The sequence below is a fragment of the Homo sapiens genome, chromosome 3 (assembly GCF_000001405.40).
Source record: "Homo sapiens chromosome 3, GRCh38.p14 Primary Assembly".
Lineage (NCBI taxonomy): Eukaryota > Metazoa > Chordata > Mammalia > Primates > Hominidae > Homo > Homo sapiens.
In genome coordinates this window covers 171438767-171458415 of record NC_000003.12, presented here as the reverse complement: position 1 = coordinate 171458415, position 19649 = coordinate 171438767, and the positions used below count along the sequence as shown (strand labels likewise).

The window sequence follows — 19649 nt, the reverse complement described above, 5'->3', positions numbered from 1 at the left end:
CATTCATGCATTATTACAGGAAGCTGTCTATTTCCCTGGAGTGGAAATGCCACATCAAGAACCGGCTGCCCCCTGCGCAGCGGGGTGGGGTTGGTAACAGGGTGGGTGCATTGGCCAGGTCTGTGGCTTCCTGCTTTACCGACTGTGTGTGTTCATTTGCCCTACTTTCTACGCTGGGAGTTGCTGCCGGCGAGTTAATCAGGTGGATGGATGGCCCCGACTGGGGGTGGGGTGCTGCGAATCGGTCGGAGGTCGGGGTGGGGGGCGGGAAGTGGCAAAGGGGGAAGGGGTCTGAACAATGCGCAGGGCTTGCGGTGATTTCCCTGGGCCGGAATCTCGACCTTGCTCCTCTACTGGAAAGCAGTCTGATGTGATTTTAAGTTGGGCCGGGACTTGTCCCTTATGGGCTTTTTCCTCGGGAAGGTTTTCTGAGATACCAAGCACGGAGCCTGCAGGCAGGGGAGCAACCGGTGAGGGCCCACTGGGCGGACGACTGCGGTTCACACTTGGGATGTGCTTTCTTGTGATCTGTATTTTGAAAATATATCTTTGCACAATTCACTGAAATTGCTCTTTGTGGCCTGGGCTATCAGCTTAGGGCTCTGCTTCTGTTTTTCTGCCTGCTGGGAGGTGTGGAAACAGAGAGGGCAACAGCTAGCTTGGGGACCAGGAACTGCTGGCTAGAAGACTTAGATGCAGATGTGGAGACAGTTATATCCTGGAGGGCCAGGGTCTTTGACCAGTCTTGTGGGTGAGGTGTGTCTGCTGGAGTGGGTCCAAAGGCCACATAGGTAATCTCCACAAATCAGAGGGCAGATCATCTCCACCTTGCCACATTTGGAGAGGTGGCCTCATCTAGATGAGATGTCTCATTTGTTCCTAAGCCCTTGGTAAAGTCTGCCTGCTGAGCCCCTCCTGGGGAATGCCTGACCCCTGAAATGCAGCCAAGGTCAGTGGCTTCTGGGAGAATTTGCTGCAGACTTACCAGTCCCTCGCTGTTTCGGTGGCTCTTTAATGTACACAGTCAATGCTCTTTTTGTAAACCCTGGGCTCAAAGCATTAAAAGCAGATCCTGTCTAGAGAGGCCTTTATCCTTCTCACTTTGGGGGCTTATTGTTCTCAGCCAGTGATTCCAGACCGGACCCAGTCTAAATTTTCCCCAAATAGCAACAATGCATAATTTAAACCAGAGCAACCAATGACAGCACTGATCATTTAAATTATGCAAGATTTGCATGGTTTAAAAGTGAGTGAAGCAGGATCTTCTTTGGTTAGAAAATAGGTACTTTGAATCCAGTTTTAGCCCTGATTTTTAGAGCTCAGAGATAAACTAAATCTTGAGGGATGGGCTGGAATTGTTTTATAGATTCAGAGCTGGAAAGAGAATTGTAGAACACTCAGCCACTCCTTTCATTGAACACTTGGGAAACTGAAGCCCAGAGGCGTGAAGTAAGTTGTTCAAGGTCACACAGTAACAAGGGGAGGGGACAGCGAGGAGCGTGGTTTGAGGAAATAATCTAGATTTCCTGACTCCTCATTCAGTGCTCTTTTCTCTAAGTCACACTTTCTGTGGTGGAATCAGAAATCAATAATACATTTTCTGCCTGAGTACAAAAGAATAGCAGAAAGGAATAATTTCACCAGGGTCAGGGAATTTTATTTATTGAGAATGGCGAAACTACTTCATGCAAGTAAGCTTGTGATACATGAAACCATGGAGCTCTAGGCCACCTTTGGAATTCATCTTGTCCAGCCCTGGTTCAATGCCTACTCTGCAGGCAAACGACTGTCTGAAATCACCTAGGACACATGGTTGTCCTGCACAGGTAACCTCTCTGAGTAACCTGTGTCCATCAGAGCATGTCTCAAGGGGTCAGTATAAACATACATGTTATTCAGATGGCTCTGCATGTGAGGTTTATAGAGTTGTGTGTATGTTTTGTATTATCTATGTGGATACATATATTATGTGTAGTATTATGGATATAAACCGTATCCACGTGGGTGTATGAAAATGTGTGTATACATACATAGGCTACAGCAAACAATTTACTCATTCAAACCTGGGGCTTGAGTCATTCTTGCTTCAAGACATCTCAGTATTAAAAGAGATGAAAGTTGCCACCAGTGTGCTTTATTACATATGAGGCGAGCTCAGCCCAGAAAGCTTTTTGGAGATTAGCATATTTCTGGACCTAAGCACCTTGGCTGTCCTTAACTTGGCCCACAGGGTAAGGCATTCAAGGCCAGGAGTTGGCTGCTGCTGACCTCATACTCTCAGCTTCTGCCAGGACTCACATACACTTTTGTATTTGAACAAAATTAGATGATCTACACTTGTCTTTCCCCTTAGCCCTCATTCCCTAGCCATTCCTTTCTCCATTGAAACCCAGATTTAAGAATTGACCTCATCTGAAAGCCTTGCATACATCCCTTTGCTACACTTTTCATGCTCATGTTTTACTTGGTGTGTGATTTCCTTTCTGCTTCTTTACTAAACCGTGGACTTCTTGAGGGCAGAGGCTAGATCTTGTTCATCTTTGGAGCCATAGTCTCCATTAGTTGGATGAATGAGTACGTGAATGAATGCTTGAATGAATGGAGTGGAATGAACCCTGTCTCCCCAGTTCTATGTCCACCTCTTATTCACTCTGTGACTTTGGGTAGGACATTTAACCATAGTTAATAAGAATCATCACAACTGTTTGCCTTTCTCACATACTGGTTTCAAAATCAATAAAGTATTTAAGGCAATGCTTTAAAAACCATACAGCACTGTACAAATATGCTATCCCATGGTTAAGTAGAATTTAGTGGGAAAATTGATACCATCAACATTTGATTGCAATGATTTTATCTAATAGAAAATTATCTTTCCTGGGCACAGTGGCTCACACCTGTAATCCCAGCACTTCGGGAGGCCGAAGTGGGAGGACTGCTTGAAACCAGGAGTTTCAGATCATCATGGGCAATGTAGGGAGACTCCATCTCTAAAAAAAAAAAAAAAAAGTCAGTGTGGTGGTGTGTGCCTGTGGTCCCAGCTAATTGGGAGACTGAGGTGGGAAGATAGTTTGAGCCTGAGAAGTCGAGGCTGTGATTGTGTCACGGCACTCCAGCCTCAGTGACAGAGTGACATCTTGTTTAAGAAAAAAAAAAGAAGACTAAGAAAAGAAGGAAAATAATCTTCAGAAAAAGATATCAGAAGGTTCCGACTCTTTTTAACAGTACCTCCACAGACCTTAGCTGCCTTTTTCCTTTTGTGTACCAATGTGACCTTGTATGTTTCTTTGATGGCCTGAATTGAGCTTTGCGCCCCCAGTATTAAGCATTCATTACATATGAGGTAAGTGCAGCCCTGAAGTTTTTTGGAGATTAACATATTTCTAAACTAGTATCAACTATCAGCATTGTTCATTAAAACCTTCTTTTTTAAAAAAAGTTTTCTCTCTTTATGTATTACCGATTATTCAAATACAAACACATTGATCATGACTGTGCCTTCCTAAAGTTTTATCTTTTCCCTTGGGAGATAGAGTGGACACATAAAATGATACACTAATGGCCCAGTATTTAAAACTTTCTGGTGAGAGGTCTCATGGGGCTCAAAGAAATCTCGAAACATTATTAGTTCATTACTCCAGAGCACTTAATTAAATTTGGTCTAAAATGAGATTTTAGTAAAGTTGCATGAGTTGATAACAGTATCTCAAAATGATAACAGCATGGCAATTTTTTCATTAGATATTCTTTTTATTTTTCAGAGATACTAAACAGGTGTTTTCTTTACAATGGCATTGCCTCATAAAAAGTAGGGTGTGCTGGTATTTATCAGAACATCAGAGAAATATGCATAATCATTTTCATTATTCATTATTAACTGGAGTAATCTTTAGTACAAAAGCCAGTGTAAGTCATGGTTTGCTGTTTGCATAATTATCTACTTAGGAGGTCATGTAATATTTTGTTGATGAGAGAGTACCCAGTACATTTCTTTCAGGAAATATTCCTTTTTTCCCCCTTATCTGTAAAACTCTTTGATATCTTATAATTTCGAGTCTTGCCCGTTCGGCCTTTCTTCTTTCTGTGTCTCTGCCCTGGAATTAATCTTCCGTGCCCTTCTTGTTTCGACGCCATTCCTTCTCTCAGTGATAGTGGTTCTAAAGTCCACCCAGCCAGGCGCTCCTGTGATTGAATCATGGCCGCCATGCCCAGCTGAGCACAACCAGTCTCTGATTCCCTTCCTGATAGAATCTGGAGTAACTTGAGTCTGAAAGATGCTTTAATGTCAAATTGATTCTTACATTTCTGTGGGGGAAGTAGCTCTCTGAGAACAGGGCCTAAACTGGTTTGTTAGCAGTGTGCTGAGAATTCTAAGAAAATCTTAATGATATTTTTTGAATGAAATGTTATTCTGCACATATAAATATAAGGTCTCTAGTGGAGAGAGAGGGAGGACTTAAGTAGAAAATGTTGGATGAATTCCGCTTGTGATTCCTTCCAGTCTGGTTGGAAGCTTATTTCCCTTTAGAGAAACATGATTCTATCCACTCTTTTTTACATGTCCTGGTTGTCTCATGGGGGTGCCCTCAGTTTCTCAAAACACATTTTATATCACCCCAACTTAAAATTCTTCCCTTAATGTTTATCATATGGGTCCCCTTGTCTCCACTGTTCCCTGCAAGTGCTGTAGTTACTGTCCCCTGGGCAACACCCGCAACAGGACCTCCCCTCCTCCTGTGTCTCTACCACCAGCCTTCTTCTGACTGGTTTCTCGTACACTGTAGCCACGTGAGTCTTCCAAACGCACAGTTTCAATCTGGTTGTTTTTATTCAAGGCCTTCTCTGTCTCCTTAGTCTACAGACTGAAAACTAAACTCTTTAGCATGTTAAGACCAGCGGCAATTCAGAGGGGCCTCCCACCGAGCTCTGCAGTTTTGACGACCACTCCCCCATTGCGGCAGGGAACAATTTCATTCCCCCATGGATGCTCTGTAGGGGGCGCTCTGTCTTAGTCTCCTTTCTGTACCTACTGCCCCAACGCTGAACATTCGCAGACCACCTTTTCCACAGAAGTCTCTGATTTCTCTCAAGTTGTCCCTCCCACTCATAGACTGTCTCAGAACTGACCTCACACCTCTTTCATAACACTCAGAACTTTCTGTCTTGGATTATATTCACTACTAGACAATTCCTTTTTAGAGGCAACGTTTGATTTTCTTAGGGATCCTCACCAGTTTTCTTTACACAGCAGGCGTTCGTTCAACAAATAAATTTTGAATTAACAAAATATATACTGTGCAACCCTTTTAGAAGGGCTGGAGGTGGTGCTATGTAGAGAGAGTATAGAAACCTCAGAAAGGTGGGGCCTGTTGCTGACCATGGCACAATTTCAGGGATCATGAATTACATTATAGTCTAGGTTGCATGACTCCTGGGGACACTTTTTATGTAGAGTACAATTCCAGTGGATGCTAATTACATAGAGTACAATTCCGGGGGCACCAATTACGAGAAATACTATGCCTGGTCCTGGGTAGGTATTCCTATTTCTAGAATTTTTCTGCCAAGGAAAGTGTTCTCTCCATTGTCTTATTCTAAGTTTTGAGAGATTTAAAATACCATGGGTTAGAATTGCAAGGCGTATGTGTGTGTGTGTGTGTGTGTGTGTGTGTGTGTGTGTGTGTGTTTGGAGTGTGTTTCAATTATTTCAACAATCGGATAATACTTATGACTGCTGTTTTGATTAAACAGTAATAGATGGGCGGGAAAGGGTGTGCTTCTGGGGTGGCCCACTGGAAGACAACGTTGAGTTTTTATCTTGACAGAGCTGGCAGTGAGCGGGTAGAGAGAGTTTGGGAGATGGTGAGGTTTAATGAGGCACACAGCTGGGAGTTAGAGCCCAGCGTCATAAAGCTGGCTCTGACACCTTGCCCTCTAAGCTTCAGTTTTGTCACATGTAAGATGAGTGGTTTGGACTAGAAATTGCTGGAGGTGACTTCCAGCAATTTGTATTGCTGGGATGCATATTCCTGGAATATGTAAGGGAACTAGAGGCAGGACTGAGGGCATTTAAATAGCCATGGATTCTTATTCTATCTGTTGGAGATACCAAGAGATTGCAAACTGTGCACCTCAATGAGCTGGGAATTGCCACTGAACGTAACATCCCTTTCTAATTTTTAAATGAGCTATTTTTTTCCAGCTGTCAGATTCTGATTTATAATTTAAAGTGTTGTTCTAGTTTTTGAAGACCGAGTGATAGGACGAAGGGCTGACTGTGACTTCCGCTGGGTACTCCCTTACAGTGTTGCTGCTGGATACCCGGATTTAGACTCTGAAGTAACCCTAGATTTTAAAGTGCTGTCTCTCTAGTTAGTGAAATTAGAACCTTGGCAGTATGCATCAAGTAGGAAATTTGTAGACTTTAACAATACATTGCATATGTTACAAACATTTGTTTGATTAGTGTATTAGAAGGTGCAAGTTTGGGTGCAGGGTAAATTCAGGCCCAGTATTCTGTGATTCTGTGAAATGTGATTAACTGTAGGGGAAGAAATGCACATGGTATCCAGCATTCATTCATTTATTTGTTTGTGTATATATTCATTCAGTACCTGATTATTGGGTGCTACTAGTTGCTGGGGCTGAGCTGAAGACAACATTGGCATGGTTTCTACACCCATGGTTGGATGGAGAAGAGAGCCTGCACTTGTCTTTTACTACACTCTAGCCACACTGATTTTTTTCTGTTTTGTGAATATGCCAAGCTCATTCTTGTAGTTCTCCGTGTCAGAAATTTCACATGGAGGGCTCCATCTTATTATTTAGGTCTAAGGTGAGATGCTGCCTGTATTATTACTTATGTATCTGCATAGCAGACTACCCTCAAGCTTAGTGGCCTAAACAACAATAACCATTTATTATATCTCACAGTTTCTGTGGGCCAGGAATTCAGAAGTGGCTTACCTGGGTGGTTTTAGCATGAGGTATCTCCTGAGGTTGCAGGAAGATTTTGGCAAGGTGAGCTATCTTCTGAAGGCTTGACTGGAGCTGGAGGATCTCTTTCCAAGATGATTTACTTATGTGGTGCTGGATGTTGGCAGGAGGCCTCAGTTCCTCCCCACGTAGGTGGCTCCATTGGTTGCTTGAGCATCCTCATAACATCGTGCCCACTTTTACCAGATAGAGGAATCAAGAAAGCAGAGCAGAAGCCACTATGTCTTTTATGACCTAGCCTTGGAAATCACACACCATCATTTCTGCAATACCCTGTTGGCTACCCAAGTCAGCCCTATTCATTTCGAAGGGGACTACACAAGAATATTAACTAACACCAGAAGGCAGAAGTCACTGAGGGCCCTCTTAGAGGCTCCCTACTAAACAGAGAGGCTTTCTTTGCAATATATCTGTAAAGTAACACTCCCTTCCACCCTGAAACTGTCCAATTCAGTGCTTTATTATCTTTAAGGCAGTCGTGACTATCTGAATTTTTTAAAAATCTGGCTGTCCCAACTGGAGCCTAATAAGTTTTGTGAGAATAGGGATCTTGCCTGCATGTTCAGCACCACATTCCTGGTGCTTTGAACTGTGTCTGGCACATGATAAATGTTGATTGAATAAATATCAATTGTGTGAATGCAATTAATTCATTCATTTAAAAGGGATCTTATTTATTTATTACACCTCATACCTCCAAAAAGTAAGTTGTGGCACCTTCTGATAAAAGGCATAAATAGGATAAAGCCATAAAACCATGTTAAGGCTAAAATGAAAAGTAAAGGGGGATTGTGTTTGCATATCTTTGTCTATATATCTACTTATCTATCTGTCTGCCTAGGGCTTGGTGATTGGTGATCCAATTTACCTCTTTTGTAGGTAGAAATTTGGGGTCAGAGAAGTTACTTGTCTTGTCCAAGGATGAAATTCGAATGCAGTGCTGGGTCCCGTTATACCACGTCCCTCAACTGGATTGCCAACATCCTGGACATCTTAGTGAATCAGTCATTCCCACAACACAAAAACCAGTCTAACAAAGTATGGATACAAAGATGGTTATAAAGTTGCTTGTATGTACGGAACACACTGAAGATAGCCTGTGCTCCACTGTGAAGAAACCAAATCTAATTAGATGGTAGAGGAGAACTCAGCTAAGTTAATCAATATAGATAAGTAGCAATGCTTCAGATGTTGAAAATAAAGGTTACGATTCTATGTGCAAAGAGGCCACCTGTAGAAGCTGGAAATATGTGCTGTATCTTAACCTGAGTGGGAAGCTACGAAGACTCCTGGGGCTCCAGGGCCCAAAAAATGCAGACTGTGAAAGAAAGCAGACTAAGCCTGCTGAGTTGTTAAAAATTTGTTTAATTTTTTTTTTATGTTTGAGACGGAGTCTCACTTCATCACCCAGGCTGGAGTGCAGTGGCACCGTGTTGGCTGACTGCAACCTCCGTCTCCTGGGTTCAAGCAATTCTCTTGCCTCAGCCTCCCAAGTAGCTGGGATTACAGGTGCCCACCACTACACCTGGCTAATTTTTATACTTATAGTAGAGACGGGGTTTCACCATGTTGGCCAGGCTGGTCTCGAACTTGTGACCTCAGGTGATCCACCCTCCTTGGCCTCCCAAAAATTTTGTTTAATTTTTAAAAGGCTTTTCTGGTTCTCATTGTAAAAGCAATGGTCATTGCAATGGTTTCTGCATGGTCAGTGCAGAAAATTTGGAAAATGGAGAAAAAATAAAAAGAATTCTCAAATTATTTAAACTTATGATTCCTAATGATAACCACATATGCACTTTGGTGTATGGCTTAGTAGTTTTTTCCTATGCATGGATAAATAGATTTTTTTTAAAGTGGAGATAATATTGTACATATTATATGTAACCTATTTTTTAAACCTAATAATTAGCCTTTTCTCATGCTATTAATCTTTTTCTATGGCATAACTTTTAAAACTCTTTTTCATGGGGAATTTAAACTTAAAAGGTAGACAGATTACAGGAAACAACAGATGCTGGGGAGGACATGGAGAAATAGGAACGCTTTTACACTGTTGGGAGTGTAAATTAGTTCAACCATTGTGGAAGACGGTGTGGCGATTCCTCAAAGATCTAGAACCAGAAATACCATTTGACCCAACAATCCCATTACTGGGTATATACCCAAAGGATTATAATTCATTCTACTGTAAAGGCACATGCACATGTATGTTTATTATGGCACTGTTCACAATAGCAAAGACTTGGAACCAACCCAAATGCCCATCAATGATAGACTGGATAAAGAAAATGTGGCACATATACACCATGGAATGCTACACAGCCATAAAAAAGGATGAGTTCATGTCCTTTGCAGGGACATGGGTGAAGCTGGAAACCATCATTCTCAGCAAACTAACACAAGAACAGAAAACCAAACACTGTATGTTCTTACTCATAAGTGGGAGTTGAACAATGAGAACATATGTACACAGGGAGGGGAATAACACACACCGGGGCTTGTCAGTAAATGGGGGGCTAGGGGAGGGATAGCATTAGGAGAAATACCTAATGTATATGATGGGTTGATGGGTGCAGCAAACCACCATGGCACATGTATACCTATGTAACAAACCTGCACGTTCTGTACATGTATCCCGGAACTCAAAGTATAATAATAATAAGTAGACAGAATATTGGAATGCTCCTATATTACTGATAGGAATGTAAAATGGTACAGCCATTTTGGAAAACAGTTTGACAGTTTCTCAAAATGCTAAATACAGAGTTACCATGTGACCCAGGAATTTCACTCCTAAGTATATGCCCAAGAGAACTAAGGACGTATTCATGCAAAAAAAAAAAAAAAAAAGTGTACATGAATATTTATAGTAACCTCAAATAGGAGACAACCCAAGTGTCCATCAACCAATGAATGAATAAACAAAATGTAGCATAGTATATCCTTACAATGGAATATTTATTCTACAATAAAAGGAAGTGCTGATACACACTGCAACATGGATGAACATTATGCTATGTGAAAAAAGCCAAACACGAGAAGACACATGGTTGTATGATTCCATTTATATAAAATGTCTGGAATAAGCAAATCCATAGAGATAGAAGGTAGACTAATGCTTGCTGGCAGGGAGTGACTGCTAACGTCCCAAATTAGATAGTGCAGATGTTTGTACAACTCTGTGAAACATACTAAAAGTCACTTGTACACTTCAAAAGAGTAAGTCTTATGGAATGTGAATTAAAGCTCAATAAAACTCTTATTAAAAAGTAGATAAAAGGGTTAATAATCTCTCTACTGAACAATTATCCCCCATAATGAATCCTGTTTCATCTGTACTCCTACCCACCTTCTCCCCCATATTATTTTAAAGTAGCATATTATTTCATTTATAAATATTTCAGTAGTTTGTGTACTTAAAAAATACATAACCATAATAGTATTATCATGCCTAAAAAATTTAACGTGTAATAAAATATTCAGTCAGTGCTCAACTTTCTAATCATGTTTTTAGACTGCTTAGCATTTTGTTGTGGAGATGGATCATAATATATTTAACCAGTTCCTGTTGATGAAGCTTGAGGTTATTTCTAACTTTCCAACTGATAAATAGTGCTTCAATAAACATCCTTATATATAAGTCTTTGTGTGCATCTCTGTTTCCTTAGGATAACTCCTTAGAAATTGAATTTAGAATGAAAGTGTATGAATGATCTCTAAGGCTCTAGATATTGCCAGATTGGCTTCCAATTTCTTGTGCTGTAGGTGTGTAGCATTTATAAATGAACACATAAGACTCTGAAAAATCAATTAGTTTACCAAAGATCGTAGAGCTACTAAGTGGCTGAGCTTACGACTGACTGGCCCAAAGCCACTGCCAATAGTGACTCACATAGCCATCATTTGATTTATGGACCTTGTCATGACATCAGAATTATCTGTTGTATTATCACCCTGAGGCTCACAGACTTCCCAGAAGCCTTTGGTTTAGGGCACAAGTTGTCTTTCATGAGCATAGTGGTGTTTTAAGAGCTATTTCCAAGGTATTTCTTCCTTGTAACTTTGTTTTGTAAGATGACCAATGTCAGATTATAACGTGTTTTTTTTTTTTTCTTGCCTAAAACCTTAAAAACCTAATATGGTAGCTATTTGGGGATTAACAGTGACATTCTTGTGGAGTGTATCTAGGGGATGTTTGTTTGTTTATTTATTTATTTATTTGTTTGTTTGAGATGGAGTCTAGCTCTGTTACCCAGGCTGGAGTGCAGTGGGGCGATCTCTGCTCACTGCAACCTCTGCCTCCTGGGTTCAGGCGATTCTCCCGCCTCAGCCTCCTGAGTAGCTGGGATTACAGGCGCTCGCCACCACGCCCAACTAATTTTTGTATTTTTAGTAGAGATAAGGTTTAACTGTGTTGGCCAGGCTGGTCTCAAACCCCTGACCTCAGGTGATCCGCCCGCCTCAGCTTCCCAAAGTGCTGGGATTACCGGCGTGAGCCACTGAGCTTGGCTTGTTTACATTTAAACTGTCATTCTTTCTGGAAAATTATCCAGCAAGTGTGTTTGGAGGATGTGTGGAATCAGGCTCAAAGGTTTCAGTTTTTTAAGAATTGGAGACAGCTGACTCTGTGATGATCATAGAAGATAGCAAGGTGAGCTACGGCCATGATAGAATAGAGACTATTCTCAAGCCTTAATCTGCCAGACAATTGCTAAAATCAAAATCTTAAGTTGTGCTTTCAGTTTTTCACATAGGTAGATATTTTAAGATTCTAATGGAGAAAATAGAAGATAGAACAGGAAACCACCAGAGTAAAAAGCTCCGTATTCTGGACTATAATCTACTTTCAACCTGGTTTATAAGTAAGAAACTATTAAAATTGACACAACTTTATGGTAGTTGGTCTTGCAGAGGGCAATTTTCTTGATTTACTACAGTTTATAACCTAATCCTCCATTTAAAATGCCTATAAATTATTTATGTCTAGGGTAAAAATCCAGGGCTTCACATGAATATGGTTTCATCATTTCTACCTCTAGGTATTTTTTTTAAAGCTGCCTGTAATCAAATGATAGCAGTGTGGTGGGTGGAACAGGTTGTAAGCAGTAATTGCAAACTGTATTTAAACAATAATAATAATATTTAGCATTTATAGAGCACTTTATATCTTCAAAGTACTTGCAAACATTATCTAATTAAATACCCTCTCTGATTATAATCTGGATACAAATGCACTTAAACTCAGGACAGGGTCATGAGAAAAGTATGCATTTGAAAGTTGGTGCTAGCTATGCTTTAAAAACCTATACAATGATGGGAAAGTTAGAGTTCAGATTCTGTTGGACTGTTTTTGTGCATTTCAGTTCAGCCTGATGGCAGAATTAGATCATATCTGCACTCGATGACTCTGCTTGATAACTTATCACTGAAATCTGAGTGTTGATCATCACACTGATCCTTACAGTTGCTACAACACGAATAACATAAATAAGCTTTAAAATGAGGTCCCTCTCTACATTTCATGCCCTGGCTTCAGATGAAACTGCCATTAGTAAGTGAAATGAAGTGGCATAGTGCAAGGAAGAATGGCTACGCATTGTGGTTTAGTAATGTCCATCTGAGAGTAATAGATTTAACTGCACCGTAGGATACATCATAAAGAAATGCACTGGAGAAATGAAACATCTTTAGTTTGACTGTATTAACTACTTCTTGCTGTTTTGGATATGTGTCTGTGTATTGTCCCCTCGCACGTATACCCTGTGTTGCCAATTTAGATGGTGTTTGGAGCAAGGACCTGTGCGGCTTACTCAGTAGGTAGTAGAGAGTTCTGCAGTTGGTAGATTCTCAGTAAATGTTATCCTGCATGTTGTGATTTTCTAAAAGCTAGTTGACAGTTTAACTCCCTAAGTCAGCAGTTCTCAAAGTGGGATCCTTGGACCAGCAGCTTCAGGATCCTCTGTTAGGCCCTGCCTCTCTCAACTTTTTTTTTTTTTTTTTGGAGACAGGGTCTCACTCTGTCACCCAGGCTGGAGTCCAGTGGTGCGATCTCAGCTCACTGCAGCTTCGACCTCCGGTTCTCAGGTGATTCTCTCATCTCAGCTCCTGGGGTAGCAAGTACTACAGGCATGTGCCACCATACCTGACTGATTTTTGTATTTTTTATAGAGAAGGGCTTTCCTACGTGATCTCGGATTCCTAAGCTCAAGGGATCTGCCTGCCTCAGCCTCTCAAAGTGCTAGGATTACAGGCGTGAGCCACCATGCCTGGGCTCGCTCAACTATTGAATCAGAAACTCTTAGGATGGGGACCAGCAACTTTTGCGTTAAGAAGCCCTCCTAGTAATTCAGAAGCATGTGGGAGTCTGAGAACCACTGGCCTAAATGTTTAAAAGATAGTTTCCTTGGCTGGGCATGGTGGCTCATGCCTGTAATCCCAGCACTTTGGGAGGCCAAGGTGGAAGCTTCACTTGAGCCCAGGAGTGTGAAATCAGCCTGGGCAACATGGCGAGACCATATCTCAATAAAATAAAATAAAATAAAAAAGAAAAGCAAAATATATTCATGGAAATTTGGGTATGCCTGAAAATGTTGCAGAATAGGAAATAGTAAATTATTTATGGTAAGTGCAACTTTTTCATAAGGCATATGACCTCAGAGAAATTGTGGACAGTACACATTCTTAGGAGTATGGAAGTTAAAATTTTTTTACTAATATTTGCATTTGAATTGTTTGTAAGACTCAAAGATACTTGAAATTGAAAAGTCTACAACTTTCAATTGATAATTCTGTACTTTGCATTGTTCTTTGCATTGACATGTCTTTTTCTTTTTTTTTTTTTTTTTAGCAAGTTTATTCAAGGTGCAGAAAAGCCCCACTCCCTTGATCAACAAGATGCATCCTTCTGATGTCGATTTCCTGTTTTTCCCTATAGGCCTGTAGGGATTGAGTTTGAAGCCCCAGGAGGTGCTGACATTTGCTTGGAAACTGAAAGAAAGAATCCATATTCACAAATTCTTTCAGCCCTACTTCTGTTAGAAGCCTAAAATCTTCGAGTTATTTATTTTTTGAGACCTGGGAAATGGAATGTATATTTGGAATCTAGACAGCAGGTTGAAGATTTCCTTACTGGGAAATCCCACAGACTTTCTTTGTAACAACAACTTGTAAGCATCTCTTACCTAGCCACAAAAGTGTCCCATGTTGCTATTTAATCCACAGTTCTTAGATAAGCACATTGCTTATATTGCATGTCTGTTTATATGGAGGAAAAGTTGATGGCAAGTATGGTTGTTAAAGCAACTTTATATACAACTGATAGTGAGCGTGCATGAAAATTTTATACTCATTGCTGGGGAAAATGCTTTTAAAAATGTAAATTTGAAGACCTCCCCTCATAGAAGAACTATTTTGAAGGAAAAACCGATGGTTAGACAATCATCATCAGACTAGATATAAAAAATACCTGGTTAAAGATTATTAGGTTTTTCCCAGTATTGACACTTAGAGGGATAGCTCCAGTTTTCTCAGAAGAGGTGTTAATATCATTAAAGTATCAGGGAATTGTTCAAGCATTTTATTTTTATTTTATTTTTTGAGGCAGGGTCTTGCTCTGTTGCCCAGGCTGGAGTGCAGTGGCTCAATCATGGCTCACTGTAGCCTCAAACTTCTGGGTACAAGTGATCCTCCCACTTCAGCCTCTTGAGCTGGGACTACAGGTGTGTGCTACCACACCCAGCTAATTTTTTGAAATTTTTTTTTTTTGTAGAGATGGGGGGTCTCCCTATGTTGCCCAGCGTGGTCTCAAACTCTTGGGCTCAGCCTCCCAAAAGTGCTGGGATTACAGGTAGGAGCCAGTGTGCTGGGCCCTGTTCAAGCCTTTAAATCGGGAATACTAACTGCTCTAGATGGGACAATGAATGACATCATTTGAAAACTTCCGTCTGGAACTAAGTTTGGAGCAGTTTCCTTTCTAGTGGTGGTGAAATCATAGACTCTGTCTAAGAAAGCTACAAATTTGAAATGGCTTTTTCACAGCCTGTTTATCTGATTCCTCCAACGCTTGAGATAATATATGTTGCAATTGGCGTGGTTGAAAGGGCCCTTTGAGTTTGGGAGTGCTGCGATTTTTCAATTGAGCTCCAAGACTTTCAGAGCATGGATACTCTGGGTAGCAGTGGAACCAGGTGGTTCTGTTGCTGGTGTCTTACTCTGGAATGGTTGACAGAGTCAAAACTAAGCATTTGCTCTTCCTAAAAGGCCTCTGCTTCTTCTGTCTTCTTTAAATTGGTAGCTCCAGCACCAGTTAGAGAGTACTCAGTTTTCTTTCCATGCAAACAAATAAACAAATAAAGCGCTGTAGTGCTTTCTAGAGCCAATACCCAGATGCTATTCAGGGAAAGAACATTGCACAGACACTCTGTTGTCTGAACAATATGTATATTCTCTCTGGGAGTATTTTAAAGATGTAACTTGTGCTGGTATTGTAGCCATCATTTCTTGAATATAAACAGCTTTTATTTTGGGAGAAGAACAGATGTAAAAGTGTGAAATATAGAAGTTTACACATTTTGGGGGAGGGGGAAAGGGAAGAGGAACAGTATTTCTTTAAAATCATGGTAAACCAATCTTAGTTTTTCCTTTGTTTTCTTTGAGTGACTGAAAATTAGCATGGGAAATCTGCTGGAACCTGACCAGCTGGGTACCTAAACCTCCATTTCACTGATTGCACCAGAAAAAGTGCCAGTGGATAATTATTATAGGTCCTCATCACTGGAAACAAAAAGGGTCCTTCTTCAGGAGGAAGCCTCTCTATGAAGAGAGGAAATCGTAGACATTCAGTGAAATATGTATGATACTTAAAATAAATCTTAGAGAGATACAGAGATCCGAGCCCCAGATACAGGGTTTGCTTTCTAGATTGAAAGAGTCTGTTGAAGGGGTTTGAAGGCTGGGTGTCCCTCTGTGATCTCTGAACCAAAGCTCTTGCCAGTTCAGTCCCCCAACCCCCTTTAATTAGTGTGTATGTTTGCAAAGAGTACCTGGGGGTATTCAAAGCAGCAGGGACATTCCTGTGACTATTAAGTTCTCTGTCCCTTTGAGGCCAGGTCTGTTTCTTTTCTTTTCTGGAAGCAAGGTCTCTTGTATCTCATCACTTGATACAATGCAAGTTGCATCAGATTTAAAAAAATAATCCCCTGTCCTTCTTTCCTGTTTCCTCCGTGTGGCTGCTGCCTTCTATAAGTTGCTGCTGGTTTGCAGGATTCACAATCAGGATTTTGTCCCTGTGGAGATTTTGTTTAGTTTGCAAGGAACATTTTTATTTGAGTTGCATGGTTCCTTAATAACTCCCCTTTGACAAATATTCTGGTTAAAATTTCTATGATCATTATATTTACTTGGTTGTTTAGTATCGCATTTTTATACTGAATTATTTCAACCATGTTTTCAAATGGACAGCTCTCAAAATTTTTTAAGTACATTTAAGTGAAACTTGGAATGTGCATAAGTTGTGAGATCATGTGAACTCTGCACTTCACAGACTTGATAAAGTCAAACCTTTATCCAGGGGATGCTTCCTCCACAATACATGTAAATCTGAATTTAAAAATATACCTAAGAATATGCAGAAACTGGAACTCTCATACATTGCCGGTGGGTCTATGAAATAACTCAGCCACTTTGAAAAACAGTTTGGCTATTTCTGAAAAAGTTAAACTTACTACACGACCTAGCAAGTCCACTTCTGCGTATGTACCCAAGAGAAATGAAAACATAGGTCCACACAGAAACTTGTACAGGAGTGTTCATGAGGAGCATCATTCACAGTGGCCCAAAAATGGAAACCACCCAAATGTCTATCAACTGATGGATAGGTAAACAAAGTGTAGTGTTTTCATACAATAGAATACTATTAGGCAATAAAAATGAAGGAAGTACTGAATCAGGCTGCAGCATGCATGAACCTCAAAATGTTATGCTAAGTGAAAGAAGCCAGACACAATGATTGCATATTGTATGATTCTGTATATATGAAATGTCTAGAAAATGCAAATCTACGGAGGTAGAAAGTAGATTACTGGTTGGCTAGGGTGGAGAGGAAAACAGGGAGTGCCTGTAAATGGGCCGGAGGGATCTTTTTGGGTGATGAAAATGCTTCAATATTGGATGGTGGTAACCTGAGTGAATTTTATGGTATGTAAGTACCTCAATAAAGGTGTTAAAGTATAATATGCCTGAGACACTGCTTCATAGTTGACCAGCTCCACACACCGTGAAGGCAAATTTCCTAGTCAGGTCTCTGTGATATTTCTAGGAAGGCCATCTCTTCAACACCTGGAGAGATAGATGGGTTCTCTGATCCTATCTTCTGCTTTCTACGTATTTTCGTGTCATTCTTTATTCTGAAGCGCTTGTCATATTTTACAAACATAACGATAATCATTTCCTTCAAGATAAGGTAGCTCAAATAACTTATTCCTCCTGTAGAGAAAGGACTTTGGGGCCAGGACTGGGAGAGCTATTCCTGTCTAAAACCATTCCTTACTAACTCTTTCTGTTTTCTTAATGTTCCATGCTTTTCTCACCTCTATGCTGTTATGCACACTGTTCCTGCTGCCTGAAACTCTTCCCAAGCCCCTATCATAATGTGCCATTTGTTCATTTGTTAACAAATTATTTGGTTGTCTCCCTCCACACCCTCTTCCTGCAGAAGAGACTATAAGCTCCACAAAGGCAAGCTATGTTTTGTGTATCCTTGTATCCATTTATTAATGAAATGAATGCCTGCTCGTGACTTACAGCATAGGCTAAACTCCTTAACTTAGCAAGACCTTCTATGATCTAACCATTCCCTATTTTTCTACAGTATCAGTAACTACCACCCCATTCCACCTCCATACACTTTATTTCCTCCACTGTTACCCCTAGAGCTCAGCTCTTTTGTTCCCACAAAGTTGGGGAATTCCTTTTCTCAAATGATCAGAGCTCCTTTTAGCATGTCATCTTCCTGGAATCACAGATACCAGGTGTTTTTCAAATTGTAATGGGTTGTGGAGTGAGTTTAATGGGTTGCAATCAGATTTTGAAAAAAAATTAGAATAGAGTAGAAAAATGTTCCTATGTTTACTGTTACTGTTACTCACCATTACTATGATGGCGAGGGAAGGAAAGGGGCAGTAATCAAGGAGGAATGAGTTGCTGGAAACTGCAGTAGCCACCATGGCCTTGAGAATACCCTCTAGGAAATGTGGAGAAAGGAAGAGGGCTTAAGAGTCTGCAGAACTGGGTGGAGGCTCAGCTCCAGTAATCATTGTGGTCATTCGCCCAGCCTAGCATGGTCTTGGCTATCATAAAAACAGAGGGAGAGAAAAATCATGGACACTGTCATATTATGTACAGGAAAACTGTGCAGGCTTCTACCATGTGCCACAGTGAGGTTGAGTAATGGGGAGAGTATGGCCCTTCCCTCGGAGCAGCTGGGAGACAAGAGTAGAATGTTCATGAAACCAGTGGAAACTGAGCACATGCTGAGCTTCTGAGGGCTGTGTGTGCTAGGTGTTGAGTGAGGGCCAGGTGGGTGGGTGGCACAGGCCAGTGGCACATGCTGGCCTTGGTTAGGGCAAGACTTTCAGCGAGGAATTTGTGGTCCAGGATTTGGTCCTAAGCTTTGCAGTTCCAAGAACTATACTGAAATGTGGCTAGGATAGAGTCTCAGGTCACACCAACATGTGGATGTACCTGACACTGATCTGGAGTGTAATTTATATAATAATAATAGTAATACACATGCATTTAGGCTAGTCGATTGAAGCAGTGGGAGATGAGAAAGAACAAAATTTAATACCAATATTTATAGCTAATATACTTTGTGACCACTGGCCACGTGTCAAGCACTGGGTTAATTATTTTAATAAAAGTCTAGTCTTATTAATGCAGCCACATCTTGTGATATATACTATTCTAATTTTATAGATGTGGAAAGTGAGGCTTAGGTTAAGTGATTTATTGAAAATGATGGAGCCAGTTTTTGAACCTAGTTTGGTCCAATTTTTTTTCTTTTTCTTTTTTTTTTTTTGAGACAGAGTCTTGCTCTGTCACCCAGGCTGGAGTGCAGTGGCACCATCTCAGCTCACTGCAAGCTCCGCCTCCCGGGTTCATGCCATTCTCCTGCCTCAGCCTCCCAAGTAGCTGGGACTATAGGCATCCACCACCATGCCCAGCTAATTTTTTGAATTTTTAGTAGAGACAGGGTTTCACCATGTTAGCCAGGATGGTTTCGATCTCCTGACCTTGTGATCCGCCTGCCTCGGCCTCCCAAAGTGCTGGGATTACAGGCGTGAGCCACTGTGCCTGGCTAGTCCGATTTTAAAACATGAAATGTAAGCATTGTGCTATTGCTGCTTCCCATTTTCTAAATAAATAGTGGGAATGCTTTTCTAATGGTAGAACTACTGTCTGCTCTCTGGGGAACTGTACTTCTGATTTTGGAGGGACATAGGACTCTGAAACTTTGATTAGAAATGTGCTTGACAGGGTTGGAATGAGGCTGGGGTTGAACCTGGAGCGTGGAGTCCAAATTCTGATCCCACCACAAGTGGTGGTTGGACAGGGCTGGAAACCCACACACTCTTCCTTTTGTTAACCTGATCGAG

General features: G+C 40.9%; 1 protein-coding gene and 1 long non-coding RNA gene across 10 annotated transcripts in view, besides 1 other annotated feature; both read left to right on the top strand.

The window, feature by feature from the left end:
• The window catches only part of TNIK (TRAF2 and NCK interacting kinase), a 401995-nt gene that overhangs the window by 1993 nt on the left and 380353 nt on the right, over nucleotides 1-19649 (top strand). The window lies entirely within an intron of this gene.
• On the top strand, nucleotides 245-17226 carry LOC124906303 (uncharacterized). The gene is made up of 2 exons (XR_007096168.1): nucleotides 245-470; nucleotides 7876-17226. It is a non-coding gene; the product is annotated as an uncharacterized LOC124906303 (long non-coding RNA).
• Nucleotides 18491-18590: an enhancer, noted in NCBI's record as "active region_20815". NCBI's record gives its function as "activates an Ori minimal core promoter by ATAC-STARR-seq in GM12878 lymphoblastoid cells {active_cell/tissue: GM12878}" and the evidence as "EXISTENCE:reporter gene assay evidence [ECO:0000049][PMID:35858748]".